Source organism: Homo sapiens, chromosome 22, assembly GCF_000001405.40.
Source record: "Homo sapiens chromosome 22, GRCh38.p14 Primary Assembly".
NCBI classification, from domain to species: Eukaryota; Metazoa; Chordata; class Mammalia; order Primates; family Hominidae; genus Homo; species Homo sapiens.
In genome coordinates, this window is record NC_000022.11 from 23,668,678 (window position 1) to 23,690,790 (window position 22,113).

The window sequence follows — 22,113 nt, forward strand, 5'->3', positions numbered from 1 at the left end:
TTTATTGCGGCACTATTCACAATAGCAAAGACTTGGAACCAACCCAAATGTCCAACAATGATAGACTGGATTAAGAAAATGTGGCACATATACACCATAGAATACTATGCAGCCATAAAAAATGATGAGTTCATGTCCCTTGTAGGGACATGGATGAAGCTGGAAACCATCATTCTCAGCAAACTATCACAAGGACAAAAAACCAAACACCACCATGTTCTCACTCATAGGTGGGAAATGAACAACAAGAACACATGGACACAGGAAGGGGAACATCACACACCAGGGACTGTTGTGGGATGCGGGGAGCGGGGAGGGATAGCATTAGGAGATATATCTAATGCTAAATGATGAGTTAATGGGTGCAGCACACCAACATGGCACATGTGTACATATGTAACAAACCTGCACGTTGTGCATATGTACCCTAAAACTTAAAGTATAATAATAACATTAAAAAAGAAAAAAAAAAAGAATGATATAACGGGGTCCGGCATGCTGGCTCATGCCTGTACTCCCAGCACTTTGGGAGGCCAAGGCAGGCAGACCACCTGAGGTCAGGAGTTCAAGACCAGCCTGGCCAACATGGTGAAACCCTGGCTTTACTAATAATACCAAAACAATTTAGCCAAGCATGGTGGTGGGCGCCTGTAATCCCAGCTGGTGGAAGGCTGAGGCAGGAGAATCACTTGAACTCAGGAGGTGGAGGAGGTTGCAGTGAGCCAAGACCACACCATTGCACTCCAGCCTAGGCAACAGAGTGAGACTCCATCTCAAAAAAAAAAAAAAAAAAAAAAAAAAAAGAATGATATAATGGACTCTGGGTACTCAAGGGGAAGAGTAGAAGGGGAGGGGGATGAGGGATAAAAGACTACACACTAGGTACAGTGTACACTGCTTGGGTGATGAGTGTACCAAGATCTCAGAAAACACCACTAAAGGCCAAGTGCAGTGGCTCATGCCTATAATCCCAGCACTTTGGGAGGCTGAGGCAAGTGGATCAATTAAGGTCAGGAGTTCAAGACCAGCCTGGCCAACAGGATGAAACCCCGTCTCTACTAAAAAGATAAAAGTTGGCTGGGTATGGCGGCTCATGCCTGTAATCCCAGCACTTTGGGAGGCCAAGGCGGGTGAATCACCTGAGGTCAGGAGTTCAAGACCAGCCTGGTCAATATAGTGAAACCCCATCTCTACTAAAAATACAAAAATTAGGCGGGTGTGGTGACGCATGCCTGTAATCCCAGCTACTCAGGAGGCTGAGGCAGGAGAATCGCTTGAACCTGGAAGGTGGAGGCTGCAGTGAGGTGAGATCACACCACTGCACTCCAGCCTGGGTGACAGAGCGAGACTCTGTCTCGGGAAAAAAAAAATTAGCTGTGCATGGTGCTACATGCCTGTAATCCCAGCTACTTGGGAGGCTGAGGCATAAGAATCACTTGAACCAGGGAGGTGGAGGTTGCAGTGAGCTGAGATCGCGCCACTGCACTCCAGCCTGGGCGAAAGAGCGAGACTCCATCTCACAGTAAATAAATAACTAAAAATAAAAAGAGAAATAAGTAAAAATAACAACCAAACGACAAAACAGTGCAGTTTATTCAAAGAGACAGAGACTCTTAGAACTGAGAAAAGGGCCCTGTTGGGCTCTAGAGACCCACACCCTGCTCTCGGGGTCACCGTCCCCTACCCAGAGGCTACTGAGACAGTCCAAGCAAAGAACAGGTGGCTCTATGCACCTGGGACACCCGTGCCCAGGCAGCCTGCTTACATGTGGGGAAACTGAGTCTCAGAGGGGCTAAGGTATTGCCGAGGTCCACTTGCCCGGTTTCCAGGGCCCATGCCCCCATGCCCTGCCCTGCTCATCTCCCAATCTCCAAGCAGGGCTTGGCACCCGCAGCTGAACAGGCCTGGTGTACACATGGTTGTCAGGTTCCTTGGAGGCCGAGGGCAGCCAGAGACAGAGGCCAACAATGAGCAGCACCAGGACCACGGCCAGCAGACCCAGCACCACTAACTTCATCTTCATGACTCTACTGCATCCACGGGGCAAGGAGCAGGGTCAGACCCAGCCTCAGACACTCCCTGGCACCTCCCCAACAGAGCACAGTCTAAAGTCGGGCCTCAGAAACACAAGTTCAGTGTCTCCTTCTCGCCTCCCAGAACGTGTGCATGCTGTCCAGTCCTGGGAGTGGGCGCCTCCAAGGAGGAGCAGAGGCAGGGAAGGAGCAGGAGCTGCCAGAGAACCCATAAGCTTACCTAGTCCCAGAGGGGACAAGAGGCCAGCCAGGGGGTGCCCAGCAGCCCTGGGGGACAGTGCAAGGCATCTACACAGGGTGCAGGACAGGCAGGCCTCTCACAGAGGTCCAGCCTAGCAAGGAGGATGGGGAGGCTGACGTCACAGCAGCAAGGAGGCACACAGTGACTCCGCACAGTAACTCAGCCTGTCACCAGGTGACTAAACTTCATGCAGCCCTGGGAGGGCCCCGGGTGGGAGGTGTTGTGAGCCGGGGAATAGGGTTCCCACTTCCCAGGCTCAGTTCCTTCCAAAGGGTGCTGTCTGCCCACGAGCCCCTCCAGTGAGCCCCAGGCTGGGTCTCTCTCTGGCTCTCCCTGTCCCTGTTCAGAACATCTGAACTCACAGCCAGTGTCCCAGAGATGGCTCTGGAGGCGGTGGAGTAGTGGTGCCCCTGGCACTAGACCAGAACCCAGCCTAAGGGGCCTCACCACACGCTGCTGTCAATGCTAAAGGTGTGTTCCGGGAACATGGCCTGGGGCCCTGAGTGCAGACTGGTTCTGCTGCCCATCCAGAAACATTAGCACCCCAGGCCCAAGGAACCACCCGAACAGCCCAGAAAGGCAGGGCCCAGAGAGGGCCTGAGCTGGCCCAAGCTCACACAGCCCAGCAGTGCAGGCTTGGCCACTTGGTAACTGCCCCAAGTTACTGCATGTTTCTGACCAGCCCACCAAGAAGTCTGAGCCAGGAACAGCTGCGGACCCAGCCCAGGGGACTTTGGACAGTGCTGCCCATTCCCCTGTGGCCCTCATCTGCCAAGGATATGGGCCAGAGTCTCCCTGAGTCATGGCTCCCTCCCCTGCTCCTGGGCCTGCTGTGTCTACGGTGCCGGAGAGCCCCTGCAGCCTCCACCTGAGGTCTATTCCGTGCCCATAACACCTACCCCACAATCATCCTTCCAGGCTGCCCCAGCTGACAGAAGGGGACATGAAGGCTGACCCAATATTGCTGCCTGCCTGGGTCACATAGACCTGTCCTGTCATCCACTGCTCTCAAATGGGCTCTGGACAGAACCCACCAGACACACAACTGTGAGATCCTCAATAGCCCTAGGGTGGAGGTGCTATGACCAAGCCCTTACCCTGGCTATTCCTCCCCCTGAAGATCAGGGTGACTGGGAAGATGACAGGGCAGGAACCAAGGCCCCATGACCTGTCCCTGAAGGCTAGACAGCCAACAGGAACATCAGGGGATTTGGCCCTCCTAAGTGGCTGCATTCCATGGCAGTCAGCCATGAGGGGTCTAAAGTGGAGAGCCACAGGGCTCTGTCCCCTGCCCCGGCCTGCTCAGCAGTTTCCTCTCTGCCTGAGAGCATATAAGACAGGCAGGATTCACAGCAGCAGGTGGGCAGGAAGAAAGTCTGAGTGCGCAAAGGATGGCTCAGACCCCCGCAGCTGACCCCAAAAAGAAAACCCTGGGCTGGGGAAAGTAGGGAGACAGAGCTGCCTTTGATGGGGCACAGCCGAAGCCTGGCAGCAGCTGAGGATTCCAGAGAGGGGAGACAGGAGGGGAGGCACTTTATCAAAGGACATGTTAATAGAGGTAGGGCCTACAGAACGAAGGAGGCTTCTCCTCGCATGCTGAGTGTGTCACATTCTGTCCCAGTCAGCCCTCTACCCCCTGAATGCAGAGAGGGCACCTAGGGGGAAGTGGGTCTGGGGAAGCCATGTCACCCAAGGAAAGACTGCAGGGGCTGGCCTAGAAGTCTTCTGCAGACCCCACAGCTCTTGTCCTGGGCACATAAGGTAGTGAGTTCCCTGTCCCCAGAAATGTGCCAGCCTCACTCACCCAGAGACACAGACTCTGGTGTCAGTATCACCCACTTCCAACACACGTGCAAGCACGTGCGCACACACACAACTGAGCCTAATCTAGGCTGAGCAGAGCAGCTTCCCAGGATGCAGCAGAGAGAGGAGTATGAGGAAGAGATAGACATGGCAGCCAGTCTGAAGTTTCCTGGTTAATCCTTCAACCCAGCTTGATGGCTTTGTCACCACAACCCCAGAGCCACAAGGGTGAAACCAGAGCACAGCCCCAACCCCATTCACAGGCAGGAAACTGAAGCTTAGACAAAAGGGATTTACCGAGGTCAGCTGGCCCCAGGAGGTCTGCAGACCTGTAGGTAAGCCCAGGACCCACCCATCCCTTACCCTGCCAGCCCCCAGCCTGGAGTCACTATCCCTGGGTACGAGAACGCACAGATCTCTGTGGCTTCTCCAGGCCTGTCTACATCCCTGGACTGGACGCTTACTACCCAGACCTGGAGTTGGAATCCATCTTCCACGCTGTCTACCCATGCGGTGCAGTGTTGAGAATTAGAAAAAACACCCCTTCAGTAAGATTTAATAACCACTACCTGCTGGAAACCTGTTGAAAGAACTATATATATATCCCCATATATATAGCTGAGAGGTGGCAGGCACCCCCTGGAGTTGGGCAATGACCCCTTGCACAAATGGCCCTGCCCCACCCCAATCCACAGCCACAAACAGAACCCAGGAGTGAGGCAAGCATGGCCCAAGGACACAGGGTCCCCCAACCCCATCACAGCTCTGGCTCTACTCCAGAGCTGACCCCCCGCCCCCATTCAGGGCTGCCAGATCCTCCTGGGTCTGTTTCTTCATGCTGCACTCTCCCCTCCTTTTTTTTTTTTGAGACAGAGTCTCACTCTGTTGCCCAGGCTGGAGTGTAGTGACACGATCTCGGCTCACTGCAACATCTACCTCCCGGGTTCAGGTGATTCTCCCACCTCAGCCTCCCGAGTAGCTCAGATTACAGGCACGCACCACCACGCCCAGCTAATTTTTCTATTTTTAGTAGAGAGGAGGTTTCACCATGTTGGCCAGGATGGTCTCGATCTCTTGACCTCGTGATCCGCCCGCCTTGGCCTCTCAAAGTGCTGGGATTACACGCATGACCACTGCGTCTGGCCCACTCTTCCCTCTCAATTCCAAGAAGCCACGGCTCTCTCAAGGGCTTCTTCGAATAAGTCAGGTGACTCTGCCCCAGCCCTCCCTCACCCACCGGCATACCTCTCTCAAACCCACTTAGCCAAGAAACAGAGGCGCCCCCTAGCCCAGACGCAGTTGGATAGAGAACCCAGGGCTCTCCCCTTCTGTGGGATCCCTCTGCAGGATGTGCCCACGTGAGTTTCCCCCTTCACCCCGAAGTGCAACTCACTCCCACTGCACAGGTGCATAAACCGAGGCTCGGAGAGGAAGAGGAACTCCTCTAGAGCACAGCAAGCATACGGCAGAGCTGAGAATGGAACTCAGGCCTCCAGACACTCCTGGGAGTCCCCTGGCCTGAGCTTCCCCACTTATGATGTCCAGCATCTCAGAGAGAGTGAGTGGCTCCTCCGGGTCACACAGCGCTGGGCCACAGCCAGCTGCCCTCACTCACTGGCTCACCAGACTCTGGATCTGGTCGTCCAGCAGCACACTAAAACCAAGCTAAGATTCCCCGCTGTGACCCAGCTCCTCTCCTCCCCGCCTCCCCAGGCAGCATGGGGGCGGGCAGTGCGGTGCGGGGGAGGCATTAAAGGCACAAGAACTGCTGCAGGTGGGACAATGGCTGGCTGCTGGTCCCATCCCTGGGGCTGTGTGATCTGGGACCGCTGCAGGTCTGAGTCCGGTGGGGTCTCAAACCCTGAATGAGAGACCTGAACTCTGAAAGCCTCGGTGGGGCTGAATGAGGCTGGGTTTCAGTGGGAGGCAGATTAGACCAAAGGTTCCCTGGGAGATGGGGCCACAGAGCTGGGCTGCAGCCAGATGCCCACGCCAGGAGGGGCTGGAGATGTAAGCATCTGAGGCCCCACAAGGTCTGAGGAGCCTAGATCACCTCTACAACCCCAGGGCAGGGGATGCCTCTCCTAACAGGCCCTCTCCCCAGCTTGCAGGGCTACAGGTGGGGCTCTAGGAGCTGTCACTCCAAGGACCCTGGTCACCTGGACTGAAGGGAGTCACATGATCCAGGAGGGTCCTTCCTCAACCCCCAATTTCAAGGGTCTGAGCAGACAGGCTGACAGAGGACCCCAGACAGTGGGAGCAGGGGGATGAGGCCCATCCATCCATCACGCCCTCACCTGCTCTGCCCCATTCAATGAGATGGGGTGGGTGCCCCCACAGCACTGGCAGGCCCAAGCCTCTCAGCCCTCAGATCGAGGTCCACACATGGTCTGCAGCCTGCCAGTATTGTCACTCTTAGCAAGGTGCATACTTACCTTCCTTCTTTCATTCCATCATTCATTCTCTCATCAAATCCTGGCCCCTCCAGATTCTTCTCTCAAGGAGCCCTGACCTGGCTGGGCATGAGACAGTATGGTCACCCCAGGGGGAAGAGCCCTACGGAAGGGGCAGACACCAGAATAGGGCCCTTGGGAATCCAGCCGGAGGTGGGATTGGATTTGGGGAGGACCTGACAGGCAGAAGGAACCACCTGAGCCTGAAGGCCAGGAAATGGAGCCTTTTCCAGGAAGTGAGGGCTGCAGGGGACCTCTTGACCACCCTAGGCCCGTCCTGAGCCCCGAGGTGTCAAAGCTGGAAAAGGAGGTGGCCGAGCTAAGACCTTCAAGGCCAGGCCAGTCTGGACTTTGAGAGCCCTGGGAGGCTGGTCAATGTGTCACCGGGCCCAGTAAACCATTAACCCTGGCTCACTCATTAAGACCCTGGTGGGTGTCCATTAGCTCCTTGGCCGGTTTCAGGAGCCGGGCAGAGGGTAGGGGTCATGGGAAGAAGGGAGTGCTGATTGGGGTGCTAGGTAGAGGCTGGCTGAGCTGGCTCTCTGTGTCCTTATTCCTTGAGGAGCGTTCCAGGGCCAAGCTGGCCTCCAGCCAGGGGCAGCTGCAAACACAGCCCGGCGGGGGTGCCGCCCCACCATCCTAGTGACTTTCATCTTCTTATCACTCCTGTGTACTGGCACCAGCAGCCCACAGTGCCTCGGGGGCCTCAGCCTGACAGGAGGCTCAAGGGGCCAGTCCAGTGCCTGGCTCAGCACCCAGCCACACTGCCCCTCTGAGAAATGGGCCCAATGTGGCCTCCAAAGCCTTGTCTGTTTCAACGGGCTGGGATCTGCCCCACCTCTGTATCTGGGAAAACAAGGCCCTGGTGGGGCAAGAAGGGAGCTCCTGGCATAGGAACCTGCAGGCTGAGAGGGGAAGGGACCTGCCCAAAGCCACTCGGCAAGACAGTGACCCATGACACCAGGAAGGCTGTGCAAACCACTTCCTGCAACTGGCGTCTCATTGCAGCCCCACCCCACTGTCAGGTCCAGGAAGCTGACCACAGGAATCACCCGGAAATCCTCGTGCCCTGAGTGGGCCATGGGGGCATGACATCCTGAACTGCAGTCATGAGGCTCACAATGAGCGAGCAATGCGGATGGGTCCAGATGCAAGCTGTGCCTGGCCCATACTCCAGAACCGCTGGAACAACATCTCAGGGACCCCTGGGAGCCAGAAACCCAATATTATCTAGGACATTTTGTGTCTCCTGGTGTCCTGCACCAAGGAGACACTTGGTAAACTGGCTAAATAGAACTGACTTCAAATCCAAGCATCATAGCATTGGAGTCAATATTAGGATCACGGAATCTCAAGTGTTTGCCCTCTGATCTTCCAGCATCCCAGAAAGGTCAGCTTACATACCTTCCCCAATGGGGAGCTCACTACCTCCAAAGATAGTGGGACTGTGTTTGGTTGGCGAGTTCTTCCCAACATTAAGTGCCAATTTGCCTCTTTGTAACACCTGCTGCAGGTGGGCCTGGCCTCAGATCCTGCCCACTGTCAAAGGCCACAGAGCAGAGAAACAGGGGCCACCCCAGATCCTGTACCTGGCCACAAATTCTCTGAGCCACAAAGACCACACTGAAGGAATGGGAGGAAGACTTCAGCTCAATGGAAGGGCTGGTGCCACTCAGCTTGACGGAGGGAGGTCAGCACAGGCCAACTGTGGGCATGGGCAGAGCTCCTGTGCCCCCAGAGCCTGGCCAACACCCCCAGTGCCATTTGTAGCATTTGTTATTCCAGCACCCACCTGTGATGTGAGGACACAGACTGAAGCATGGCCAAGTGCGTGGGCCCTTCAGAATTGTCAGCTTGTGAATGCCTGGGAGCACCCAGCAGCAGGGCTGGCCTGGCACTTGATGGAACAAGTCCAACTCCCAAACTCAGAGGCAGGATGGCAGAGGCATGGGCCCTAGAGTCCCTGGGTTCAAACTCAACCCCAGCCACTGATAGTGTGGGTATCACAGCAGCCTTTCCCTTCCTGGCCTCAGTCTCCTACCTAGAGAGCAGGGATAACTAGAACAGTTACTAGGTGGATTCCCTGAGACGGCCACGCACAGACTGTAGGGAGCATCTGCTACTTTCAAGACCTCACAGGGTCTCGCCAGGCTCTGACACCAGGCCTGTAGGAGCTTCTCACCTTTCCTGATGAGCAGCTCAGAGCAGGGGCCCAAAGGGTACCCCTCCTGGCCGCCCTGTCCTCCCTGACCAGGCACCCTCCACAGGTAGTATTTATCACATCACCTGGTAATTATCTGCAGTGTCTGAAAGCTCCAAGGAGGGGTTGGGGGTGCAGGAAGACTGTCCATGCCTCAGCCCCGACACTATCCCACGTCCTGGTCTCCAGGAAAGCCAACCCGAACCCGCTCATGTCTCAAGGCCTCCCTGGTGACATGCCCAAGCACACCTGTTCACACACAGCCCCGTGACTTCACTGATGCCAAAACTGCGCAGCACTTTCCACGCACGCCATGCTCTCATCTGGACTTTTGGGGACCTCCCCCTGCCTCATAGCAGCACCTTCCCGACCTCCCTTGCTTCTTGGATACTGGGCTCAGGAATGTTCTCACTGACGAGTCTGCGCCCTGCTGGCTTATGTTTCAGACACACCAGATGGACGTGCCCAAGCCTGAGCTAAGCAGCTGCCTCCCCAGACCTCCTACCACCAGGGCAGCCAGAGTCTAGCCCTGGGCAGCTGCCCCTGCATCCTCACTGGGCCTGTCCAGCTGCTCCCACCTCTATACCCCACTCCCAGCCTCACCTGATCCCCAGTCCCCACAGGCCACCCCTCTCACCTGGAGACTCCCAATCACAGGTCCCAGCCCCTCTGCTGTTTCCCTACTGCAGCCCTGGCAATCGGCATGCAAATCTGAGCACACCCCTCCCCCACTGGAAAAAAAACACTCCAGAGGTCCCCCTTGTCCTACCTTGCTGGCACCCGTCCTTTCCTCCTTTTTTTTTTTGGAGTGGGGCAGCTGGATATGAACCGTCCTTTCCCCTTGCTCCTTCCCGGTCTTTGGGACTTTGCACTGACTCCATTATCATGGAGACACTCTTCAGACACCAATCACAATGCCACCTCCTCCTGAAGCCCTCCGGCACTGCATCTCACTCTGCAGGCCGGCTGCGACTGCTGCCCCCTCCACAGTATCCACAGTGCACAACAATCTTCACTGAATGGATGGATGCCAGCTGTCAGGTGGCTAGCTGTTTTTACTAAAATGCATCTTCTAGGACTTTACACTGAATCTACCTAGCCACCTGACAGCTGGCATCTCTAATCTTGTAATCCCAGCACTAAGGGAGGACGAGGTGGGTGGATCACTTGAGACCAGGAGTTTAAGACCAGCCTGGGCAACATAGTAAGACCCTGTCTTTAATTTTTTAATTATATATATTTTTTTACAAGACCAAAGAGGACAAGGTTTGGGGAGCTTCATGTGGAGGCCGACAGGAAGGTGAATAAGAACTCATCCAAGGCCAGGCGCAGTGGCTCATGCCTATAATCCCAGCACTTCCAGAGGGCGAGGTGGGTGAATGGCTTGAACCCAGGAGTTCACCACCGGCCTGGGCAATATAGAGAGACCCCATCTCTACAAAAAAAAAAAAAAAAATTAGCTGGGTATGGTGGCATATGCCTGTGGTCCCAGCTACTTGGGAGGCTGAGGGGGACGATCACTTGAGCATGGGAGGCAGAGGCTGCAGTGAGCTGAGATAGTGCCACTGTACTCCAGCCTGGGCAACAACAAAAAAACCCAACTCATCCATGTGTCCAACTCCATTAGGACAGAAACTTCTGTACTTGGGAGTCTTCCAGTCTTTGCCTTATATTATCTCTTCATCTGACTGTTTATTTGTAGCCTTTATTTATTTTATCTTTTTTTTTGTGATCCGCCCGCCTCGGCTTCCCAAAGTGCTGGGATTACAGGCGTGAGCCACCATATACCACGTTCTCACTTCAAGTGGGAGCCAAGCACTGGGTACACATGGACATCAAGATGGAACAATAGACACTGGGGACAACCGCAGGGGCTGAGAGGGAGAGGGGCAAGCGCTGAAAACCTACATATTGGGTCCTATCTGGGTGCTGGGGATCATTCATACCCCAAACCTTAGCACTGCACAATATACCCACATAACAAACCTGCACATGTACCCCTTGAATCTAAAGTGAAAGTTTTTTTTAAATCTCATGGGATTCTTTGGAGGAATTAAAAGAGGTTGAGTCCATCCATGCCCCATTCAAAATCCAGGAGTGGCTTACAAATGCTCTGGTTTTAGAGCTTCAATATGAGTTTTGTGATACAACACAAACAGGCAGAAGGGAACTGTATTCAATATACTTGAAACGAACCATTGCATATAAAATAAAACGATACCATTTGTGGCCAGGCACGGTGGCTCACATCTGTAATCTCAGCAGCACTTTGGGAGGCTGAGGAGTCCGGCGGATCATTTGAGGTCGGGAGTTTACATTCCCACCAACAGTGTTTGAGGGCTCCCCTTTCCCCACGTCCTCACCAGTGTTCATTATTGCCTGTCTTTTTGACAAAGGCCTATTTTAACTGGGGTGAGATCTCATTGTGGTTTTGATTTGTGTTTCTCTGATGATTAGTGACACTGACACACCACTGTGCCCTCGGCTGGCCTTAGTTCACTTATACATCTAACATTCACACGACTAAAATAGTCCCCATGAAGCCAATAGTGCCATTGGTATCACGTAGAAGGATACAAGACACGAAACACCGTGTGCCAGCAGATGTATCCTGCCTGTGTCTTTAGCAGGAATCCTCACGGCTGTCCACACTTCAGGCCAGGAGCTATTCTCTGGATCCTGCTCCCCAAGTGACACCTCACGTGCAAAGCAGCAAGGTCACATGGGTGGGCACAGGGCTACCAAGCTTAGAAGCCTGTGTCCCAAAAAGACACTGAGATTTCTTTTAACAGTCCCATGGTCAAAGTTTTCAAGGGTCCCAGCAACGGACATGCCTAGTTACAAACACCACTGCGCTCAGGGAAACCCAAAGTATGGTTTACCTCTTGATTTTTTCTCCAAAGCCAGCCACGAAAAAGTTGACCACAGACTTCAAAACATTTCTAACAATAGCAAAGTCCAATTGATGGCAGACTTCAAAAATTGCAAATACTCTTCTCTAACTCGAGATGCCCCCATTGTTTTACAATTCATTCACAGCTCTCCCAATTCAGATAATGATGACCAACTCTGGGCCATTTTTATTTGTAGTCTGGTAACCCAACACAGATGACATTCCACCTTTTCCAGGTTTCCAAGGGAACTGACTCAGAAAGTTAACCCAAGTTCATATTCATTTCTAGAGAAAGATAAAAAAAGTTTTCTAACTTTATTCATGCATACGCAATACAAGGATCCGTGGAATTTCTGAGAGACCTTCAACCTCACTGCCAAATTTTCAAGAGCTGTGACAAACCTTAATGTCAAAGAAAGACTGCTTTCATAGCAGCAGAACTGCCATCACATCTCTCAGCTGGATCTGCCACGGGCTTTTTTTTATGACGTATCAACTGCTTCCCCATGTCTCTGAGTTGTTGAAAGTATCACAGCGGCAAACACATTTTTCTTTCTCACTTTTTTTTTTGCTGTTGAGATGGAGTCTCAATCGGATTATCCCCCAGGCTGAAGAGCAGTGGCGCAATCTTGGCCCACTGCAACCTCCGCCTCCTGAGTTCAAGCGATTCTCCTGCATCAGCCTCCAGAGTAGCTGGGACTAGAGGCACATGCCAGCACGCCTGGCTAATTTTTGTATTTTTAGTAGAGACAGGGTTTCACCATGTTGGCCAGGCTGGTCTCAAACTCCTGACCTCAGGTGATCCACCCGCCTTGGCCTCCCAAAGTGCTGTGATCACAGGCGTGAGCCACCATGCCCAGCAGGCAAACACATTTCTAGTTCATGCATACATATGCCAGGTGGGATGAACCTGCCCCGGGGCCCCTGATGGTGCTCATGGGTAGAGCAGGGTGATCCCCAGGTCCCACGATGGCATGGGACCTGATGCTGGCATCAGGTGGTCTGGCCTGTTGTTAGGCCCCCTGCTGGTGCAAGCACATGCCAGAAGTGGAAGGCAGGGCAGGTCTATACCCAGGTCCCTGGGTGAAGTACTTGGGTACTTGTGGGGTGGGGGTTCTCTGGGAGGGGTCAGCCTGTCCTTAGGCCCTGTGGGAGCCTGCATGGACACAGGTTGTGGTTGGTGGGCTGGGGTGATCCCCAGGCCCCTGAATGTCATCCTTGGGGACCAGGGGCAGGTGGGCTGGGTCTGTTGGCAGTCCTCCCTATGGTATGTGTCTGTGCCCATGGCAAGAGGTGGGCAGAGCAATTTCCAGGCTCCCAGGTGGCTTGCTTGGGTGGCAGTGGTGGTGACTGGTTGTGAGTGGGTTGAGTCTGCATTCAACAGTCAACTCAGAAACCCCAGACACCATTTTCCATGCCAACTGGCCTGTCCACCACTCAGAAAGGCCCTGGACACTGTGCCATGTGGCTGGCCCCGCATTGGGCCAGGCTTCCATGGGAGGCAGGAGGTCTGGGCCCTGCCCTGGGGAGGGAGAAGAATGGGACACAGGCAGTGGTCATTGAGCGGAAGAGACAGAATGAGCACAGGATGCTGTGAGGCGGTAAGTATAAGGAATCATGGAGCTGAAGGTGTTCATCTGACATATACCAGAAACTAACATAAGGTAGGAAAATACACAAAACCAACTAATCCAACAAAACTTGGGCAAAGAACTGATAGACATTTCTGAAAAGAAGGCAGGAAATGAACAGGTAAAAAAAAAAAGCTTGCCCACATCACTAATCATCACAAAAATTTAAATCAAATCACACTAAGACAGCGTCCCCATCCACATAAAATGAATGTTGCCAAAAGCAAAAACAGAATTTTTAAAACGCAATCACAAGTGTAAATTTACAGAGAGGGAAACTCTTAGACACTACTGGTGGGAATGTAAATGGGCGTACACACTATGAGCAATAGTTGGCAGTTCCTCCTCAAACTAAAAATACAATTACTATGTCATCTAGCAATCTCATCACTGGGAAATACAAAGTACATGGATGTATTATGCTCCCTGATTACAAATGACATAGAAGAGCTATAGTGGTCCAAACAATACGGTATTGACATTAACACAAAAATACAGAACAAGACACAACGAGGGAACCAAATACCAAACCCAAATTCATATATGATGGACACATTTTTAACAAATATACCCAGGGGATGGGAGACCCCGGGCTGCCTTCGGTTGGGGCTGCAGAAGTGTCCTGGGGGGACCTGCAGCCACCTCTCACCTGGGCTCTGGATGGTTTCTACTCCATGAGGATTTCCAGAGTTTCCCCTCAGCCACCCTCAGAGTCAGGGGGGCTTCCATGGGGCTGCAACCATCTGTCCCAGTCTTTCCTGTCTCTATGACACACCGTGTGACCTGTGTACACTGCGAGATGTAGGTGCGTGCATTGAAACCGTACAGTTAAGATGACCTACAACTGATGCTACTCTAAGTCTTCCAGAGATTTTTCAGATATCCCCAGAGTAAACCAAACTAGTGATATCCCATGGTTTTGCAAACCAGAACCAACAACTGCACAGAAACAGCTCCTTATGCGCCATCAGACACTCTCCAGACCTGCCCCTCACTCACAAATGTAACAAAGCAGCATGAACCCAGGCAGTCTTCACTCCTCAGGGCCACATAACAACCTCTATCGGTCAGGAAGCCTTTGATCTGGGCCAGGCTGCCGACCCACAGGGGTTAATTGTGCCTCTCATGCTGAGTGTTGTTTCTCCTCACTGGACTAACCCCCACCCTTCCACCAAGAAGGGCCCCCAGGGAAACTGCTGTTTGACATCCAGGAGCCCATGTGGAATGTTCCAGCAACCTGGATGGCCTTGGCCACCTCTAATACCAGCCTTTCCCTCTGTGGGGCTCCCTTCCTGGCTCTTGCTCATGCAAGTCAATCTAAAGTGGCTGAGATGTCCTGCTCCCTCACCCTCCTGGGTCACCCTGATGGCATAGGCAGGTGTCTGCATTCAAGAACGAGTTACCCACAGGCCAACTTCCCTGGTGTGGGGGACAATGCCTGGGGCCTCCAAACAGCCAGCCCCAGGTAAACAATCCAGCTCTGACACAGCTCAAAGACTGTGTGGCGTACCTGGAGAGACTCTCTGGTCCTGTGCCCTCTTCTGGCTCACTGGATTCTTAGGATTATTGAGAGACTGGGCTTAAAGCTCTCAGCCTAGGGCCCACAATGCCACAGGGAATCAAATCAGCATGACCAGGGATCGAAGACCTCTCCTTGGCTGGGAATGGGGAATCAGGGTTGCAGAGACAAGGGGCACAGAGAGATGCCTGTGCCATCAGAGAAGGGACTGGGGATCTGGTCCACTCTGGGCTCCTCAACCTGAGCGTGAGGCCTTGCTGTGCCATGAGCTCACCTGCCCCTTGGGAGTCCACTGTGACTGCAGTCCAGTGGGGTCAATGTCCACACTGATGCCGGAAAGAAGTCCTGGGAGATGCGGAGGGCATCCTGTAGCGGCAGGCAGTCTGGGTGGTCCACGGGTGTGAGCTTCAGCAGGTCCTGGGAAGGGATGAGGTGGTGAATTGGGGGCCGTGTTTTTGGGGTTCGATGAGAAGCTCCTGGGGGAATGCTCAGTCCTCACCAAAAGAATTCAAAGGGCAGGTACTCAGGGACCCACACTCGTGCCTGCAAAATCTGAACTGAAAATTAGAATCGGAGCAGCAGGGTTGATTCTAAAAGGGGCTGGGCTCGCTTTTCTCCCTGCTGCAGTCATTACTCGTTTCCCCTGGCAGAGGCAGCCGGGTGGAGGCTCATCTCTTCAAGCAGCTGGGAGAGACACCCCACTACCCACCCTGCAGCTGCTCCAAGGATACTGGAGACAAAAAGACAGGGGCTGGGGAAGCAAGATGTTCCTGCCTCGACCAAGACAGCAATTGGCCAAATGCCCTGACCCTGCTGGCATGGTTACCGCAGGCCAGGCAGGCATATTCAGGGCTCAGGATCCCTCTGCCTGACTTTTCAAATGGGCTGTTCTCAGTGACTCTGGCCCCCTCCCACCCTGGGCTCACTCTTGAGAAACTCCTAAGCCTTCTCTGGCCCTTCAGGGGCCTTAACGCTTATGTGTAGGACCAGGATGCTCTGAGTGACCTACTTGGTCAATGGGCTGCTACAGCAGAGCTGTTGGGGAAGGCAGAGAGAAAAAGGACAATGACAGACAAAGAACCACTCAACACCTCAGAGACCAGCTTTGTCCCCCACCCAACCGCCTTGCTCCCCACATGAACACCTGCTTGCAGGAAGCCAAAGTGGGTCCACAGCAGCCCACCTCTGTTCTCACTCCCAGGGCAGACAAAGCAGCAAGAACAGGTGACACACAGCCCCGGTGACCCTGTCCCCTCCCTACCCGTGCCTACTCTCCCATCAAACCTGGCTTCGAGGGCTGCCCGCCAGTCCTGTCCAGGCCTTATCTGGCTCAGAGCAGATGATCCCCTGCACCTCCCACCCTGAATCACACAGCTACACCCAGCACATGCTACAGAGGCCCAGCACACTCTGGATCACATCCAGAAACTCCACAATAGGGGAGGAGACATGCTGTTTCCCAGGAAGGGCAGCTCCCCAGACTTGGTCATTCTCAGACTCCTCCAGTCAAAGGCCGGGCACAGCCAGCTGGGATCGCCATGCTTCACTCTGACCCACACGACTGGCCTTGCCTCCTCTATGGGAAGAGACCCCTCAGCACAACCTCAAACCGAGACATAACAGGACAGGACAGGCTGGATGCTAGAGAGGCCAGCCAGATCTCCACACAAAGGCTCTGCTCTTAAGCAGGAGGTAGCCTGAGGGTCAAAGGTTTCCTGAAGCAACTCAGGTGAGACCTCACATACAAGAGCCCCAAAGAGGCTGCAAAAGCACCAGCTCAGCCAGCCAAGAACCCAGGTGTCACACCCTTCTCAGACCACTGAGGATCGCTGGGATTCAGCAGGAAAAGGTGGACATGACAGCTGATGGACCAATACTTCCCAACACCCTTCCAGCAAGCAGCTGTGCCCCGCCCCTCCCCACATGAGTCACTCAACTTCAGTCCTGCACATGGATGCCTTTGACCATGGGGTCATGGCTTTGGTCTCCTGCCATAGGGGCAGTGAGAGGAACAATGGTGGTCTGGGAAGGAGGATCCTAGACTGGGTGTCCCACAAGACCAGGCTGTGACAGATCCCAGAGCCAATACTCATGCGCCAGCCAGTCCCCAAACCCAACAGCTACCCAAAGCCCAGGATATAAATAGCCTGTGCACTGCTAAGCAGATACTTCAGGGAATGATCTGCTGGCTGTGAAGAAGATGCGGCCTCAGTAGGGTTCCACGAGCCTTCTGCCAGCAAAATCTTCTTTGCTTGGATGCCCATTAGAAACACTAAGGGAGCTCTTCAAAGGAACAGGCCAGACATGGTGGCTCACATCTGTCAACTCAGCATTGTGGGAGGCTGAGGCAGGAGGACAGCTTGAGGCTAGGACTTTTAAGACCAGCCTGGGTGGAACAGTGAGACCCCACCTCTACAAAAAACACAAAAATTAGCATGGCATGGTGGTGCATGCCCATAGTCCCAGCTACTTGAGAGGCAGAGAAGGGAGGATTCCTTGAGCCTGGGAGATCAAGGGTGCAGTGCCCATGATCATGCCACTGCACTATGGCCTGGGCAACACTGCAAAGTCCCGCTTTCAAAAAAGAAACAAACAAAACAAAACAAAACCAAAGATGCCTGTCTCCTGCCCCATCAAATAAATCCAAATCTCTGCAGGGTGACACAGGGTATTAACATTCTTAAATTTTGCCTTTGCTGAAGTAAACATATAGTAATGGCTGAAAACCACTGCGTTATGTAAATACACTTCCTATGACTTATTTGTAGTCCTTTTGTATCTAGCAATTTCTACAGACCCTCTCTGTGGGCTTCGGAAGCCAGAATGGGCAGGGCCAGGTGTGAGGTGTCCTAGGACACTGAGGGTAGAGCACAGCTCCCAGCTCAGGGGGACCCATTTCTGAGGCTAAGGCACCCACCTGGGGCTCAGCCTATCTTCAGAGGGAAAATCACACCTCAGAACACCAGACACCCAAAAGAAAGCTCCAGTTCGGCAGATACCTGCCAATAGACCCTGGAGTGGCTGCCCCAGGGAAAACTGCCATTGCACTGTCAGCTCCCTCCAGCCCTCTCTCAGGTCCCAGCAGGAGCAGATTTCTGACTAAGCTCAGAGGTCTCAACAAATGGCAGGTTGAACATCAGAGGAGTTATTAATAGGCCTATAGTTACCTCAAGACTCCACCTTACCAGGGCCAAAAATGAGTCCTGGGAGGGCAGCCAGAAAGAAAGTAGGGCAGAGAGGAAACACAGGGAGAGGGGCCCTGGGACCACGTCAGATATGGAGGGAACCAGGGGAACGAGAGCAGCCCTGATGATTGTACTCCCCACAGCCCCTGCATGCCTGTGAACCCTGAGAATTCAGGGTGAGGAGCTCACTCTTGCCTTTCACCTGTTCCTGGGCTCTGGCAGGCTGGCCTGCTTCCTGCCCCAGCCTCACCCACTCTCCGCACTCCTCGCCACTGATGTGGGCAGCTGATCTCTCCGGTTTGCTGGGCTCTCACCCTCTGCCCAATGGCACCAAGTTAACTTCTTCGCATGCTTTATTTTCTGTGATTAAAAAGGGAAACAATTCTCACTAACGCCATTTCTCAGAGGAGAAAACAGGCACAGGGATGTTCTATGACTTCCTCACGATCACCAAGCTACAAGGGGGAGCTGGGCTTTGAATGGAGGTCTACCCATGCTCCTAAAGTTGAGGCGTCCTCCAAGGAAAGGACAGCACCTATAAAAGCTCAATGAATGGGGCGGCAGTGTCACCACTAAGCCCGACCACGCTGCTACTCTGATATCCAACTTCCAGCCTCCAGAACAGGGAGAAATACAGTTCTGTTTTTGATGAGCTCCCCAGGCCGTTACAGCTCTTTCTTTGCTGTAACAGCCTGAACTAGCCCAGAAGTGCTATTCCATCATCTGTGTCATATTCCATCATTCAGAAGGGAGTCACTAACCCCTCAGTGCTGTCTCTGTGGACGCTGCCCACCCTAGGCTGAGATGAGGCACAGGGTCTGGGTCTAAATAAAATGGGAAGGCACTGGAAGGTGCAATGTCATAGGAGGAGGATGTCTGAATTTCATTTAATCTCAACCTCTACTGGTGCAGCATGAAAGATGAGGCCCAGAGCAAAAGTGTCTTTTCCCGAGATCACACTGTGGACCCCAGGCCCACTGGAGTTGCATTAGACGTTACCTCTCACCCCTTCTTGTATTTGTTCCATTTCTAAGTGTGTGCAATATCCACAGGGAACACCACACCATGAGTTTTTAAATATTTATCTCAAACATAACCTCATGAGTTCCCTAGGAAAGAGATGCTAGCATAACCCCCATTGTGCATGCTGGGGAGACCCCAAAACACCAAAGGAGTTCTCTAGGGTCTCACAACTGCTAAAATAAAGGCTGTTTGACCCAGCACTGTCTCCTCAAACCTGGGACCCTGGTTATATCCAGGTCTTCCCAAGGTGCTGAAGGGGCACACTTTTTCATAATGGTGACTACGTAAGGAGTTGACGGGGGAGGGTGAGCGGTCAGAAGCCCAGAGGGGCCTTTGAGTAGGACTTATGGAAAGGAGGAGCTTACAGGATGGAACCTACAAGATGTGACCTCACTTCCTTGCCGACAGACCCCCAACAGAACTTACAATTCTGGTAACTAGGCACCCACATTCTAGAGACAGCCCCATTTCCAGCTCACTTCGTAGGCGATGCTCGAGAGAACAACATGTTCTCCTGCTGTATCCCGACATGCTGCCGACCTCCTCGTCGCACAAGAGGCCAAAATGAGAGTCTTTCCCGAGAATATAGACATTGGTTCAACCCTCACCCTCGACGCCTCTGGCCCTTTGCCAGAAGGCACCCACAGGTAACACAGGGCCCAGGGCAGGCCCATCCAGGCTAGGCCTCAGCTGTGCCCATCAGGGCAGCCTCAGGCCCCTCCCCACTTGTTTGGGGGAAACAGGAGATGAGGGGCCCTCCCTGGATAGGAGCAGGTAGGTTGTCAGGTGTTTGGAGCCTGGTAGGTATGTCAGGTTCACAGCCCAGGCAGTGCCTGGCAGGATGGGAAGGTGAGTGTCAAGGACACAGTTTGTCTGCTCAGATCTGAATCCCAAGTCCTCAAGCTGTCATCTGCCGGAGACCTCAGGCTTCTCTGGCTGGAGGTCTATGCAGATGCTCCTATGTGCCAAATCCTGTTGGGGAAGGGGGTGCCAGGGATGAGTTCTAATGGGGGTGTCCCACTGTGGGGTCAGCCAGACAGGCCACTGACACCTCTTGGCCCGGCTCTCGGGCACTCTCTTTGCAGAGCTCCACACAACAGACCAAACAAGAGCTGTTGGATGGATTCAATTTCTCCATATTCTTCAAAGGGCACGTGCACCACACCACCAACCACGTCCAGTGCCGGTCTGCGGTGAGATTGGGCACAGAAGGGTCTCCACAGACAGGACTTGTGAAAACCAAGGTGGGCCCAGGACTCAGACACGAATATGGGGACTCCCTAAGCTCCATCCTAGGGCGTTCCCACTTGAGTGACCCACTGTCCTCTCCCAAAGGAATCTGGCTGCCATTAGTCCCCAGTGGCAACTTGGTTACAGGCAAAGTCCCTTTCACCTATCAGAGGAAGACCAGAGAAAATCCTTCTGTTTTCACTTTAGGCTATGCCAGGAGTATCTCGGCATGTTGCTTTAAGAATTGAGTACAATGGTAACATTGCAGCAAAATACTCACACTGTTATCATTTTAACTCCCCACCCTAAGTGGATCTCCGGCAACAGGCAGGCAGCTCCGCTGCCCTGCCAGACCTCCTCCAGGACTTAAAATCCAACACTTTTGCACAAACAAGGGGTGGGGGTGGGGGGGGTGCATTGATTACAACAAAAGAAGGTGAAGCGACTCTATGCATTAGTCTTTAAAGTGTCATCTCACAGAACTCATCCCTGCAGCCCCATCAGGCAGGAGTTGTACCCTCGCATGTCATTGTAACATTCCTTAAGGGAGGCCATTTTCCACAGCGGGTCAGCCTCTCAGTGCTGGTGGAGCCTGTCATGATAAAATTCCCTTTCGAGGCAGCCTTTCTACAAGGAGCATAATCCTATGCGTGTCCTAATAGGCTGGAGCAGTTTGCCAGGGCTGCCATAACACGGCACCCTGACTGAAGGGCTTAACCACAGAAATCTGGTTCCTCACAATTCTGGAGACTGGAAGTCCAACGTCAAACTGTCAGCCTGGGGTGGTTTCTCTGGGCCTCTCTCCTTGCCTTGGAGATGGCGGACTTCTATCTCAGTCAGCACAGGGTCTTCTCTTGAACTTCTCTGTGCGCTGACCCCCTCTCCTTGTAAGAACCCCAGGCATGTTAAATTAGGGGCCACCCTAATGAACTCACTTCACCTGAATTACCTCTTGGAGTACTCTGTGTCCAGACACAGTCACATTCTGAGTCTCTGGGGTTGAGAATAGAAACAGTTACATTTGGGGAAGGGGACACAATTCAACCCATAAAATAAACAAATCCCCTGCAGCAGACAGACACCCAGGAAAGGGATATCTGGGTGAAAGGATATGCAGATATCAACTTTCAACAGCTCTAGCTAGTTGACTTTCCAAAAGGGCTCCAGCTGGTCACACGGTCACCAGCAGCCTCTGAAGGTAGCTGCTTCTCTGAACGCAGCCTCCCCTGAATACTAACACGCTTTTAACTTTTCGCCAACCTGCTGTCTGTGTGGCAGAGAAAATCCTTGTTTCATTTCCACTTTCAAACATACATTTGCGTAACCTTTCACGGGTTCAATACCTGCCTGCGTTTTCCCCAAGTCGCCTCGCAGATCCTGGGCCTTGGGACGCGCTTCCTCCCACCCTGGAGTCTTCCGGCATTTTCCCCTTGGCCAGGGCTGGGATGGCCGTAGCTGTTTCTCCAGACTCACGTTCATGTTAAAGGAACAAAAACAATCATATACCTTTAAGTCAAAGAGTTCTTCTAGAGCGTATTGTCCTGTGTGCTGTTGCTGAAATGAGGAGGGGATGAGGCCTCCCCAGGCCTTGAGGACTTGCAGGGATGATGCTCTTCATGCAGGTTGCTGACACAGAGGGTGCTGTTGCCCCACAGCTGACAAACACCGGGACGATGCCTTGAAGGCAGGAATCGTTTTATCATTCTCCATCCTCACATGCAATGTTACTTTGAAAGCCTAGAACGCTTTTCACCATGGGCACCCAGGTTCTCCATATGCACAAGTCCCTGAAGGGTTGGTGCTTCTTGGTGTGAGTTCCAGATCCCGATCCTCTGGTGGTCCATGGTGTTACCACTGACTCCCATGTCCCTCCTTGTCCCCCTAGTATGAAAATGAGATCTG

General features: G+C 53.2%; 1 pseudogene across 1 annotated transcript in view, besides 2 other annotated features; it reads right to left on the reverse strand.

Moving 5' to 3' along the window:
* GUSBP11 (GUSB pseudogene 11) overlaps positions 1-22,113 on the reverse strand; it is a 78,937-nt pseudogene that overhangs the window by 30,191 nt on the left and 26,633 nt on the right. The window contains exons 9-10 of the transcript NR_024448.2: positions 21,559-21,679; positions 15,048-15,190 (exon numbers count right to left, since the gene is read on the reverse strand). The product of NR_024448.2 is annotated as a GUSB pseudogene 11 (transcript). The remainder of the gene's footprint in view (positions 1-15,047; positions 15,191-21,558; positions 21,680-22,113) is intronic.
* Positions 5,242-5,846: an enhancer, noted in NCBI's record as "H3K4me1 hESC enhancer chr22:24016106-24016710 (GRCh37/hg19 assembly coordinates)". NCBI's record gives its function as "activates a minimal SCP1, AML or CMV promoter by ChIP-STARR-seq in naive H9 embryonic stem cells {active_cell/tissue: H9 hESC(naive)}" and the evidence as "EXISTENCE:reporter gene assay evidence [ECO:0000049][PMID:30033119]".
* Positions 16,485-16,779: a silencer, noted in NCBI's record as "tiled region #3793; HepG2 Repressive DNase matched - State 18:Pol2, and K562 Repressive DNase unmatched - State 8:EnhW". NCBI's record gives its function as "represses a minimal TATA promoter and a strong SV40 promoter by Sharpr-MPRA in HepG2 and K562 cells {active_cell/tissue: HepG2 | K562}" and the evidence as "EXISTENCE:reporter gene assay evidence [ECO:0000049][PMID:27701403]".